General features: G+C 40.0%; 1 protein-coding gene and 1 long non-coding RNA gene across 6 annotated transcripts in view; one reads left to right on the top strand and one right to left on the bottom strand.

Annotated features, from left to right (window-relative positions):
- The window catches only part of LARGE1 (LARGE xylosyl- and glucuronyltransferase 1), an 856,162-nt gene that overhangs the window by 752,294 nt on the left and 89,563 nt on the right, over positions 1 to 14,305 (top strand). For 2 of the 5 annotated variants that reach the window (XM_024452302.2, XM_047441606.1), the window contains one exon: positions 3,699 to 8,303. In XM_024452302.2, the coding sequence (XP_024308070.1) occupies positions 3,699 to 3,768 (70 nt within the window). In that variant the 3' untranslated portion in view covers positions 3,769 to 8,303. Of the gene's footprint in view, positions 1 to 3,698; positions 8,304 to 14,305 lie in introns of those variants that run through there. The other 3 variants (XR_002958722.2, XR_007067994.1, XR_007067993.1) reach the window with 3 other exon arrangements.
- LARGE1-AS2 (LARGE1 antisense RNA 2) lies at positions 1,483 to 6,245 on the bottom strand. The gene is made up of 2 exons (XR_007068069.1): positions 6,161 to 6,245; positions 1,483 to 4,350 (listed from the first exon to the last, which is right to left on the bottom strand). It is a non-coding gene; the product is annotated as an LARGE1 antisense RNA 2 (long non-coding RNA).

The raw sequence follows: 14,305 nt of genomic DNA, 5'->3' as shown, positions 1-14,305 counted from the left end.
GGGAAACCACTCCAATGATCCAATCACCTCCCACCAGTCTCTCCTCCGACACATGGGGATTACAATTCCAGATGAGATTTGGGTAGGGACACAAGCCAAACCATATCAAGCTAGCTCTATGAGGTCTCCTTTATTTATTTTTATATTTATTTATTTATTTTTGAGATGGAGTCTTGCTTTGTCATCCAGGCCAGGGTGCAGTGGCATGATCTCGGCTCACTATAACCTCCATCTCCTGGGTTCAAGCGATTCTCCTGCCTCAGCCTCCTGAGTAGCTGGGATTACAGATGTGCACCACCATGCCTGACTAATTTTTGTATTTTGAGTAGAGATGGGGATTCATCATGTTGGCCAGGCTGGTCTAGAACTCCTGACCTCAAGTGATCCTCCCACCTCGGCATCCCAAAGTGCTGGCATGTGTCACCAGCCCAGGGCAATAATCTCATTTATGAGGGCTGCCCTCATGATCTAATCACCCCAGAAGACTCCACCTGCTAATACCATCATGTTGGAGCTTAGGTTTCAACACATACATTTAAGGGGGACACAAATATTTGGACCATAGCAAGTTCCTTAGCAGTAACTTGAATAGATAGATATCTAGGTATCTAAAGGTTAAAAGGATTTCCCTGGTGTCTCAGTGCTATGTAAAACCTCAGGACTTTTTTTTTTCCTTTTTTGAGAGAGAGTCTTGCTCTATCACCCAGGCTGGAGTGCATTGGCAAGATCTTGGCTCACTGCAACCTCCGCCTCCCAGGTTCAAGCAATTCTCCTGCCTCAGCCACCCTAATAGCTGGGACTACAGGCACGTGCCACCACACCCAGCTAATTTTTTGTATTTTTCGTAGAGGCGGGGTTTCACCATGTTAGCCAGTATGATCTCAATCTCCTGACCTCATGATCCGCCCGCCTCAGCCTCCCAAAGTGCTGGGATTACAGTTGTGAGCCACTGCGCCCAGCCCCTCAGGACATTTTTATGACTCTGGGTTATCTATTACTGAGGTTCAATTATTCACTTTTGTTCATTAAGTTTTGAAGCTTAAAGGTAAAACTTAGCTGACTAAAACAAGAAAATATATGATTTATAGCCTGAAAGTCATGTCTGGTATATGCATGTTAATTTGGCTCCCTTCTTTGTGGACTTGACTCTAGTTGCAACCCACATCAAGCACAAATTCTTAGCAAGACTTTCCCATAACAAGAAGCACTGTCTCCAAGCAGAATTTTAGGGCCCACATGGGAAGATGATGAAATGTTTTACTACCTCATTATACGTAAGACCTAATTCAATCCTTATTTTACCAAGACAATATATATCATCAATTACATATGACTTTGTAACAGGACAGATTTTTAAAATCTTTATCATATCTTATACAAAAGCAAATGATAACTGTTTGACACTCCTGCTTTCAAAAATATTCTGGAAATGGAGTCATTGCTCACATGCTCTGGGTTGCTTCCTAGGCATTTATAGTCCAGTGGTGGGTCAAGCAATTTTATTCTTATCTTTGACAATCATCAGTGTGCTATTTGGCCTTGCACTGTAGGCCAAGTGCTGGTTTACAGGAAAAGACCCAGGGATTATTTACTGTTGAATTATAGTTCTTCTGCTTTACTATGTTCAATGCTGCTCCACTACTCCAACTCAGAATTAAATTCTAATATCTTCTTGTAAAACAGTCTTCTTCTTATACACTTGTATATTTGATGTAGATATTAAAGGAGACATTTGAACTAGACCTTAGGAAATGGATGAGTTCATCAAAGATCAGGAACATAAGAATTCCAGGCAGAAAGAACAAAATAAGGGTAATGGGAAAAAACTTGGAATGTTATGTAAATAGTTTGCTTTGTATGAAATATATAGTAGATATTTTCCTTATAAGGTTGTTATGAGGATTAAAAGAGATGGCATGCATGTTAAACAGTAACTAACATTAATTAGCATTTCATGCTTTATGTTTATTAGACCGTTTTGAATATGTAGCACTTAATCTTAGTTTCTTCCTGCACATTTTTCTCATTGGAAATTGCCTCCAATTCTAGACTTTTTGATCTGCATTTGACTTCTGGTACTGAAAATGGTTTGTGATAACTCCTAACCTGTGGTTCAGCACAAGGAATACATCTTCAAATAGAAGTCAGGGTAGGAGGTAGCATGGCCTCTTTACTTTGGCCTTATATATACAGCTACTCCTAGAACAGACATGCTGGAAGGAAAATCTAAAAAATGGCCTAGGAATTATAGTCTATAATCCTATCCACGCTGAGATCCAGAGCCAGTAAGAATGGGTGAATCTACCTTGTGGTTAAATATTAATCTTGTTGCTGGCAGCTGGTTGTACCAGGGGTAAATATCTGAAGAGGCAATATTGTACTGTTTACTTAAGGCCTTGATAGGGTGATCAGAGACGGGTCCAAGCCTTAGACCCCACAGCTAGGCGTGCCAGAAAGAACTCCTGGAGAAAGTTCACCCACTAAAAGGAAAAAGACTTTTGTCTTAAGAATGGCTGGTAGGAGGCTGACCCAGGTTGTGAGAGGGGCAGTTTCCTGCTTCAAATATTTGCAGGAGGGTGGGTGGAAAGCATCATTTTGTTAATTGGGGTATGCAGATCCTGGTGCCAACAATTTGTTTTTTCTGACATTATCTCCTGAGGCTACTGCTCTAGGGGAGAGAATGAACAAACAGAGTAAATGCCAGCCAGAGTAAGGTTGCTTCTTGTAGGTTGCTGTACTCCAAGGCTTAGCTGGAAATGAAAAGCAAAAGCCAAGGGCAGAGCTTGGAGAAATGAGTAGATGACAATTAACTAATCAAAAACACTATGGTTAAGAACTCGGATTCTTGGGAAACCTGGGATTAGAATCCTGTCTCAGGCTTTTAACTAGCAATCTGGTTGGGAATAAGTAGGATTACTTCTTTGAATCTCGAATTATTAATCTGTAAAATGCAACAGGAACCTTACCTGTTAGGAATAAATTGAAACATAGAATGGGTGAATGGATACTTAGTAGGCAACTAATAGGGTCTTATGGGTATTAAGCCATAGAAACTGCTCCTCCAAACCATACCCTTGCCCCTTGCTCTAACAGTGGCCAAAATATGCACTGTTCATCGAATGCAAAATATGCATTTAATAGTATGTATTCACAACTTCATGTGACTTTGAACAAATTTTCTTCATCTCTCTGGGATATGTGCTTTCCTAGCTGTACTGTAAGTTGTAAAATTGAAGTGATAGAAGGGGCTATAATTAAGACTTTTTTAGTATGGAGAAAAATGTTCAGACATAATCACAAAAAGGAATGAGAACTTTCCTGGTCCCCTCAGTTTCAAGTGGCAAGAGGCTTCCAATTAGATCTGATTTTCTGACATCCTCTCCTGGAAATTCCTAGGATATGGCAGAATACTGGAAATGTGATAGACTTTCAATAAGAAGTTGTTGACCAATTAATGGATTATTAATCTTTACTGCTTTTGGAATTACATTCACATTGATAAATTGGGTTACTCTTAATGTTATGCATGTAATGATCTTAGGGAAAAATATACTGGAGAAGGGGGAGTTTCGCTCTGAAATTTAGACCCACTTGAGGAATTGAAGTGTGTGGTTACTCTTAGCCAGTATCATTGCATAGAACAAATAACCACAGAACACACTTTGAATCAACCCTTTCTCATTCTCTTTTGCTTCTAGCTTTGATTTTAGCCAGACCCTATCTCCCATCATCAGCTGCAAGACGACAGTTCCAAACACATGCCTATAATTGTCCTCGGCGTTGGCTTCCTTCTCGAGGACTTGGGTACTGTTCTTCATGAGCCCTAATTTTACAGCATGTTGGAACGGCTCAACGTTGAAGCCAAAGTGGTACGTGCCAGGTGAACATCCTCACGGTAAGATTGAAGTGGTACATGCCAGGTGAACATCATCCCCGTGGTAAGATTGAAGTAGTACATGGCAGGTGAACATCCCTGTGGAAAGATTGAAGTGGTACATGCCAGGTGAACATCCCCGTGGTAACATTGAAGTGGTACATGCCAGGTGAACATCCCCGTGGTAAGATTGAAGTGGTAGGTGCAGATGAACATCCCCGTGGTAAGATTAAGGTGGTACGTGCCAGGTGAACATCCCTGTGGTAAGATTGAGGTGGTACATGCAGGGGAACATCCCCTTGGTAAGATTGAAGTGGCCTGATGATTACGCAACACTTCCTTGAAGACAACGGGCTGGGAGGGGCCTGGGATGGGATCCCTCAGCTTCACTGCAAAGGCAGACTTGAGTGGGGAAGGACTTCTCAATGTCTCCTGGAGTTCCAGGTGGCCCTAGGTATCCTGGATGGCGTGGGAGTCTTAAACACCAACGTAAACAGAAAGGGGATATTTGAAATTCATGCATTTCACAGTTTATTAATTTCTTTCCATTTTAACCCTCCTTACTAACATTCATTTACCCTTCAAGAATCATCATAAGCATCATTTTCCCAGGAAGTCCTTTCCTCTATGCCATCAGAATAGCAAAATCTAGTGTTTACTCTGGCCACAGCGTTTACCACACTGAATAATAATCTCTCCTCTATGTACCTGTTTTGTTTCCTTAAACAGGCCATAGCAGGTATTTTACTTGATTTTGTTCCTGAAGTGCTACCATACAGTGTCCAGCATAGAGTTGGTACTCTTGGTGTTTTTCTGAAGCAATGATGGAATAAATAGTTGCTTAGATTTTCAAATTCATCTCATATATTTGATCATATGATTTTATTATCACAAACAGCAGTTAAGGACTCGAAGGAAACATTGACCCAGGGAAGTCCAGGGATTGTATCATATCAGAGATAAAAGGGATGTTAGAGTGATGTTTTCCCAGCTGGGCTGTGTGATACAATCAGCTGTAGAGCCTGTGAATAACCCAGTGTCCTCGCTAATAATGCTGTGACCTTCTAAATCAGAATTTTGGGGGTTTGGATCTAAACCTGCATATTAGTAAAGGTCCCTAGATGATTTTGAAGTACAGGTAGATTTAAAAATCACAGATGAGGAATCAAACTGGTGAGTGGCTTCCCGTGAGGTTCAAATGGCACAGCATTTTCTCAGAACCTATGGGAGATCTCCTAATACTGTATCCAAGGTTGTTGTTGGTGACACCAAACTGCAGCAAATCCCTGGACTTGCAGCAAACTCACCAGTGCTCCAGTGTTAACAATGGGTGAGCACAGAGCAACTATGCCACTTTAAAGAGCACACCAATTTTAATGCTATCTCAACTATCATCAAGGTTTTTCCTTAATCATATAAACATCAAATTGTGGCTTCTTCAGGATCTATCCCCGAAGTTCTTCTGGGGTAAAATCAAAGCATCTATTCTTTTTATAATTTAAACTTTTATTTTAGATTCAGTGGTACACATGCAGATTTGTTACATGGGTTTATTGCACGATGCTGAGGTTTGGGATACGATTGGTCCCGTCACTCAGGTAGTGAGCATAGTATCCATAGTTAGTTTTTCCACCCTCCCTTCCTCCTGCCTCTAGTAGTCCCCGTTGTCTATAGTTGCCATCTTTTTGTCCATGAGTACCCAGTGTTTAGCTCCCACTTGTAAATGAGAATGTGCGGTATTTGGTTTTCTGTTCCTCAGCATATGTTTTAAGGACCTATGTGCTTACCTGTGCTTGGGATGAGAGTTCGTGGTAATTTTTTTTTTTTAATTCTTGTCTTGGCCGAGCGCAGTGGCTCACACCTGTAATACCAGCACTTTGGGAGGCCATGGCAGGTGGATCATCTGAGGTCAGGAGTTTGAGACAAGCCTGACCAACATGTGAAACCCTGTCTCTATTTAAAAATACGAAAATTAGCCAGGTGTGGTGTTGTGTGCCTGTAATCCCAGCTACTTGGGAGGCTGAGGCAGAAGAATCACTTGAACCTGGGAGGCAGAGGTTGCAGTGAGCTGAGATCGCGCCACTGCACTCCAGCCTGGGTGACAGAGCGAGACTCTGTCTCAAAAATAAAAATATACATAAAAATAAAAAAAAAAAACAAAATCTTACGTTGATTATTACTGCTTGTCAGAAACACCTGTATATTTTCACTGGTTTATGGATATTTCAATAGAAGAAAAACAAGAAAAGAAATAACCAATAACATCTGAATGTTTTATTTTCTCACCTGGAGTGCCGCTCATCCCTGGAAGACGTACTTGGGAACTTCGAGCTCCTGGGAATCTATGAGAATTGCAGAACCTTGACATTTCTGAAGAGTTGACATCAGCTCCCACTGATAAAACAGACAAAGCGAAAAGTCAGACATCGACAGCAGGAGATCAATGGATAAAAACGGACATAAACTGCAAGATGTTTCTGCTCCTCGTGAGGGATTATGTTCCCAGCACTGTTAGGGGGCAGCAAACTCACAATCCCAAGAAATAAGTTTGAGTTTGGTCATATCCATGCTCTCCTCCTACCTCCCTTCTTAATGGGGCACAAACAGGGAGAAAGGCGACCTATAGCTACCTGGTATTTGATGTTAATATTGTTTGCTGAAACTTGAACTTCTGCTGACGTAGAGGTTTTCTCAAGGACACTCAAGCCTTTGACTCTTTAAGTAAATATATTAAGTGGTGCTATCTTTGTTATGATTTGGCACTGATAGCCCACACAATTAAGCATGGAATTTCCTCAAAAACAAGCCAATTGGGAGTTTCATTTACTATTCACCACTTGCTAAATGTTTCCCTCATATCTGCATCGTAAATTTCTTTTTATTCTTACAGAATAGCTAGAGATCACCAGTTTAAGAAATCCTACAAGACTTTTTCCATGAGAGCTATGCACTCTCTCTCCAGCATCACCTCTCCATCTGCTTTTCACGATGCATTTCTTACACTGGAATGTGATAAAACCGTACACTGTACTTAGCCCTTCCCTGTAAAGGGGCAATGAGCTGTTTAAGGGTAAAGGGGTAGTTACTAAGCCCATGCCATCGTCTGTATTAAGTCTTATTTTTGTATTTCTACAAGGGTGGAAAGAGAGCCTGTTAAGTGAATGTACCTGTAATGAACAAGTTCATGCCAAACAGTGGAGTAGCTTTCAATTATTTTGGAGCCAAAGACCTTCACTTCATTCTGGAGTATTGAAACACAAAGATGGTCATTGGAAATGTTGGAAACTGGTTTTTTTCCTACATCAGTAAAAGCATACCACACTTCATTTTAAAATGTAATACAGAGTTATAGAAAATATATTCAAGGCCCAAGTGACAAATTGGTAAATAGCGAAAAGAATCAGAGCTTGAACAATTTACTTAGTTCTTCTGAGCACACTTTTCCAACCTGCGACATGGGGACAATGAGGGCTGCCCAAGACGACTGTGTTAAGGATCTGTGATAATTTATATGATGCATCTAGTACAGTGTTGGACTTAAAAGAAACTCATAATATTTGAGAATATATGCAAATGCTGGATTTTCATGGAATGACAGACACCCCTTTACTCACATTGATTAAGCAGTGCAATTACAACATAGACATGAGAAGAGAATCTGAGAAGACACCTCTATTTGTGGGTACCGGCATGAGCAAACACTAAAGGAAATTTTCCCAGAGGACTGTAATCCACCTCCAACACTAATGAAAGAACTTTGTAAGCATACACGTCCAAGTGTTAACCTTTTAATTGGTGACAATCTCCTTATTATGAAAGTTTTAAGAGGTACTTAGTGTGCCATAACATTTTGTCATAAGTGTATAATTCAGTAACTTTCAGTCAATTGTTAGAGCTGTGCAACCACTGCCACAATTCAATTTTAGAATATTTCCATCACCCCGAAAAGGCTTCATGTGCCAATTTACAGACATCCTCTATTTTCACCCCAACCTCCAGGCAGCCATTCTTTCTTCTGTAGATAAGCAAGCCATCAGTAACTTCCTTGCCAGCAAAGTTGATCCTGATTTATGATTTTTCTGATACTTTAAGTAAAGAGAAAGAAAAGTCATAGGGAAGATGATATAGTTTGGCTATGTTCTCACCCAGATCTCATCTTGAATTGTAGTTCCCATCATCCCCACGTGTCAGGGGAGGGACCTGGTGGGAGGTAATTGAATCACTGGGGCAGTTACCCCCGTGCTGTTCTGTGATAGTGACTGAGTTCTCATGAGATCTGATGGTGTGATAAGGGGCTTTTCCTCCTTTGTTCAGCACTTTTCTCTCCTGCTGCCCTGTGAAGAGGTGCCTTCCACCATAATTGTAAATTTCCTGAGGCCTTGCCTGCCATGCTGAACTGTGAGTCAATTAAACCTCTTTTCTTTATAAATCATGCAGTCTCGGGCAGTTCTTTATAGCAGTGTGAGAATGGACTAATACAGTAAATTGGTATTATCTCATTATAATGAGAGTGGGGTGCTACTGTAAAGATACCTGAAAATGTGGAAGCAACTTTGGAACTGGGTAACAGGCAGAGGTTGGAACAGTTTGGAGGGCTCAGAAGACAGAAAAATGTGGGAAAATTTGGAACTTCCTAGAGACTTGTTGAATGGTTTTGACCAAAAGGCTGATAGTGATATGGACAATGAATTCCAGGCAGAAGTGGTCTCAGATGGGGATGAGGAACTTCTTGGGAACTGGAATAAAGGTGGTTCTTGAAATGCTTTAGCAAACAGACTGGAAGCATTTTGTCCCTCCCCTAGAGATCCTCATCCTCTAGACCCCAGAATGGTTGGTCCACCAACAATTTAGACCAAGTCACAGACACTCAATGCCAGCCCATGAAAGCAGCTGGGAGGGGGGCTGTATTATGCAAAGCCATAGGGGCAGAGCTGCCCAAGGCTGTGAAAGCCCACCTCTTGCATCAGCATGACCACAATGTAAGACATGGAATCAAAGAAGATCATTTTGGAACTTTAAGGTCTCATGACTGCCCTATTGGATTTTGGACTTGCAATGGGGCCTGTAACCCTTTTGTTTTGGCCAGTTTCTCCTATTTGGAGCAGATGTATTTACCCAATTCTTGTACCCCTATTGTATCTAGGAAGTAACTAACTTGCTTTTGATTTTACAAGTTCATCGGTGGAAGGAACTTGCCTTGTCTCAGATGAGACTTTGGACTTGGACTTTTATTGGGTTAATGCTGGAATGAGCTAAGACTTTGGGGGACTGTTGGGAAGGCATGATTGTGTTTTGAAATGTGAAGACATGAGATTTGGGAGGGGCCGGGGGCAGAATGATATGGCTTGGCTCTGTATCCCCACCCAAATCTCATCTTGAATTCTAGTTCCCATCATCCCCATGGGTCGTGGGAGGGACCTGGTGGGAGGTAATTGAATCATGGAGGCAGTTACCCCCATGCTGTTCTCATGGTAGTGAGTGAGTTCTCACAAGATCTGATGGTTTTATAACGGGCTTTTCCCCACTTGCTCGGCATTTCTCTCTCCTGCCACCCTGTGAAGAGGTCCCTTCCATGATTGTAAGTTTCCTCAGACCTCCCCAGCCATGCTAAACTGTGAGTCAGTTGAACCTCTTTATAAATTACTCAGTCTCAGGCAGTTCTTTATAGCAGCATGAGAATGGACTAATACAGAGGAAAAACCACACTCACTTTTAAAACATGTTTTCCAATGTCAGACAGAGAAAGGGAAATTCAAATCTTCACTCTGCTACTTTCATCCTGGGAGATCTGGCCCAGGCCAACTTCCCTTCACTCAGCCTGAGATCTAGAGAAGTGCAATAAATGCTACACTCCTTGTCAGCCAGCTGTGAAGCTTAAAGCAAATGCTGTATGAAAAGGGTCTATCACTATGTCTGGAACATAGGGTGTGTTTCCTATATGCACATTACTGCCTCCACGCAACCTCCCATCTCCTATGCATGCACTGTGCTGATTTCTGAACAGGAGAGGACTGCCACTAAAAGTGTTAATAATCACTCACATGACAACACAGAGCATCTGTCACAGTAATTTTAAGGTGGATATAAAAATTACATAGAGTCTCCAGACATGTCTGCTTCATGTCTCTAATCCCATTTTCATGACAAATTTGTGAAGTGAAGAAGAGAATCGTATTGTATTCTACATTGTAGAGAACGGGAAATAGAAAGCCAGCAAGGTAGAGTGGTTGGACTCCCCCAAAGTCAGCTAAGTAATGGAGGAGCCAAGTATGAAACTCCTAGCTGATTTTTTCTCTCATTCAACAATATGGAAGGGTCAGCTTCTGAATGCAGATACACAGACTCATTAACTCTTCCTCCTTCCAACTGTCCTCAACATACACATACACACACAAAGTCCAAACAAAAAATGTAATTCAAATAGGTTCCCACTAAAACCAAGAGAGATATCAATTGATTTGCTCAGCATTTAGAACATTGAACTTGTCATATATTTTAAGGACACTACAACTGTAATGTAAAGCTTAACACTGAATGTGCTGTAGGCTTTTATTGAAGTGGATTATGCTACTTTGTGTCCCCTATGTGAAAACTTATGGGAAAGATTTCCCTCTGTATAAGTTCAAGTCCCTCAAGTAATTGATATATCTTTCTTTTATGCAAATGCTAAGTGCATAAGTTATTTTGTTTCTCTTTTTGATTTGAGTGTTTTTTTTTTTTTACCACTAATAGTTTCAGATCCAAATTTTCAGGTAAAATTTAAAATTGATTGCCAGGCATGGTGGCTCACACCTGTAATCCCAGCACTTTGGGAGGCTGAGGCGGGTGGATCATAAGGTCAGGAGATCAAGGTCATCCTGGCTAACACGGTGAAACCCCGTCTCTACTAAAAAAAATACAAAAAATTAGCCAGGCGTGGTGGCGGGTGCCTGTAGTCCCAGCTACTCAGGAGGCTGAGGCAGGAGAATGGCGTGAACCCGGGAGGCGGAGCTTGCAGTGAGCCGAGATTGTGCCGCTGCGCTCCAGCCTGGGTGACAGAGAAAGACTCCATCTCCAAAAAAAAAAAAAAAAAATTTAAATTGATTTAGGTACCAAGAGGCAGAGTAACTACATTTAAACCTATCAGTCTATCAATGAGTATTTGTGTTGTCTTTTAATTTTTTTCATTCCTAATTTTTATCTGGTAAAATGTTTTAAATTTATTTTATGATTGCACACTAGGGACCTTAAATACTCCACTGAAAAAGGTGAGCAGGAGGAAGAGAGAGTGACAACAGATAATAAATGAATATATATGTGAATGAAAAGTGTACAGATATTTTGCTTTTGTCAAAGACTGAGAACTTCAAATTGAAATTAGTATATACAACAAATATTATGTGTTAGATTTTGATTTTATGTTATAATTAGTTAAATAGTGAAATAAGTCAGAGAACTGTCAGACAATTAGAGAATGTGGAGAAAAGGCCAAGATAGAAGAGAATGATGGAATCAGAAAGGGGAAGTGACAGGAAGACACAGCCACACCCAGATGGGCAGAGAGAAGAAATGAGGGTTTGAAACAGGGATGAGGACAAAGAGGGCCCAGAGAATCTGCAAGTGTTGATATATTTGATTATAGGGATGAGAATATTAATATTAGGTTATATATCAGACTACTGATAAAAAATATACATTCTATAGTCAAATGTATAAACATTTTGCATTATTTAACCTTCTGCTTTTTGAATGTCACAGTTTCCCTGGACTAATTTGATGCAATATAATTCATTACCTATTGACAACCTAGGGTTTTATCTACATTTAACTTCTAATTCCACCCTATTCTATCTGCCATATCTGATTGAAGAACTAAGATGGAATTTATCCCTTTGTCCAGTGTTACGGGAAAATTGTATCTCAGGATAGTTTTGATGATAAAATAAATTGCAAGTGATAGCAGAAGACATTACTTTGGATAGTTACTTGTATCAACATGTGGGGCTCAATTCTTTATCAGTTAACAGTGATTACAGTTACCTACAATTCCCATGGAGAGGCCTCTTCCTTATATTCTGAATATCCTGATATTCAGATGGAAGTTTTTGTATTGTAATAAATATGCTTCTGGTCATTTCATTCTTCTCTCACCTGCCTTTCTTTCAAAGCTAGAGGGAAGATGTTATAATATATCAATTGTTCTTAATATTTATTTTTTTGTTCATGTCTGAGGCCAACAACCTAAGTTGGTTTCTAACTAGAGTGAAGTTGTGTCAATTGATGTTCAAACATAGGCTCTATTTGTTAGTCGTTCATTTATTTTTCTCTTACTGCCTTCTTTTGCAATAATTGAGCAGTTGTTTCAAAAGATTTAAATTTATCTCCACTATTGGTTTGTTATCTACACCATTTTGTTTTATTATTTTAGAATGCTGTTGCAATGTATAGAATATACATTTTCAACTCAGCACAGTATAATTACAAATAATATTATACCACATCACTTAGTGGATAAGAACTTCAATGTAGTATAATTTCATTTCCCTTCTCTCATTCTTTGTAATATTTTTGACATGTTTTACACACTCATATATTTTAAATATACAATACACTGTTATTTTTCTTATTTTCAATAATTATATTTTAAAGTGATTAAATGAAGAATATATTTTGCATTGTTCTGCAAATTTACTATTTTTGGTATTCTTCATTTATTCATGTAAATCTGAGCTTCCTTCTTCACCTTGACTTTTCAAGATTATTTTTACTGGGTCTACAAATCTAGGTTGGCAGTCATTTCCTTTCATCACTCTAAAGATGTAACTCCTTTGTCTTCTGAATTTCGTAATTTCTTTTGTGAAAGCTAGTTTTTCTTGAAAAGTAATGTATTATTTTTATCTGATTGCTATCAGATTTTCTCTTTGTAAAATTAAAACTACGATGAGTACTAAAAGAAGGGTATCATGATGTTTCAATAATACAAAAAAAGGAGGATTTGTACAAGTCAGTTCGATCATCCTTCATGAGTATTTTTACTCATCAACATTGTTGATAGTGGTATGGAAGTATGGATAAGTAGGAGGAAAATGAGTTTTATGCAGAGGTAAGACAATGAGCAGTGGTTCTCTGTTGGTACAAGCATGTTACTGAGGACTAACAGGCAGTTTAGTTAGAGCTGTAAATAATACAAGGAAGGGACTGAGATGCAAATGGGAAGTGGGGAGGGGCCAGGCCATGTGCAACATTGTAAGCCATGCAAAGAAATTGGTCTTTATCCTTAAAAAAGTGGGAAAACATTAAAGAGTTTTTAAGCATGGGATACCATGACCAGATTTCCATTTTTGAAAGCTCACATGGGTTAATAGGTAGAGTGGCTGAAAAAAGTATCAACTTAAAAAGGACCAGAAGGTTAATCTCTCAGCTTTTTATACATGAAAGTCATCAAGTTATCTTACTTACTTCATAATGATTCACTCACTTTGGACTCTGAGCTCACTTGATGAATTATCCTTCTTTTGAAATACTACAAAAGGCCAGTCTTTATTAACTATGATATTAGTCCATTTTCATCCTGCTGATAAAGACATACTTGAGACTGGGCAATTTGCAAAAGAAAGGTTTATTGGACTTACAGTTCCATGTGGCTGTAGAGGCCTCACAATCACGGCAGAAGGTGAAAGGCGTGTCTCACATGGTGGCAGACAAGAGAAGGGTGCTCGTGCAGGGAGACTCCCATTTTTAAAACCATCAGATCTCGTAAGACTTATTTGATATCATGATAACAGCACAGGAAAGACCTGCCACCATGATTCAATTACCTCCCACTGGGTTCCTCCCACAACACATTGGAATTGCGGGAGTTACAATTCAAGATGAAATTTTGGTGGGGACACAGCCAAACCATATCATTCTACCCCTGCCCCCACCAAATCTCATGTCCCCACATTTCAAAACCAATCATGCCTTCCCAATATTTCCCCAAAGTCTTAACTCATTTCAGCATTAACTTAAAAGTCCACAGCCCAAAGTCACATCAAAGACAAGGCAAGTCCCTTCCACCTAAAAGTCTTTAAAATCAAAAGCAAGATAGTTACCTCCTAGATACAATGGGGTTACAGGCATTGGGTAAATACAACCATTCCAAATGGGAGAAATTGTCCAAAACAAAGGTGATACAGGCACCAAGCAAGTCAGAAATCCAGTGGAGCAGTCAAACCTTAAAGCTCAAAAATAATCTCCTTTGACTCCATGTCTCACATCCAGATAACATTAATGTAAGAGGTGGGCTCCCACAGCCTTGGGCAGCTCTGCCTCTATGGCTTTGCAGGGTATAGCCCCCTTTCCCCATTCTGCCCCACCAGCTGCTTTCATGGGCTGGTGTTGAGTGTCTGTGGTTTTTCCAGAAGCACAGTGCAAGCTGTTGGTGGATCTACCGTTCTGGGATCTGGAGGA

The sequence above is a fragment of the Homo sapiens genome, chromosome 22, assembly GCF_000001405.40.
Source record: "Homo sapiens chromosome 22, GRCh38.p14 Primary Assembly".
NCBI lineage: Eukaryota > Metazoa > Chordata > Mammalia > Primates > Hominidae > Homo > Homo sapiens.
Note: the sequence above shows the minus strand (reverse complement) of the source record. Positions and strands in the feature narration are given on the sequence as shown.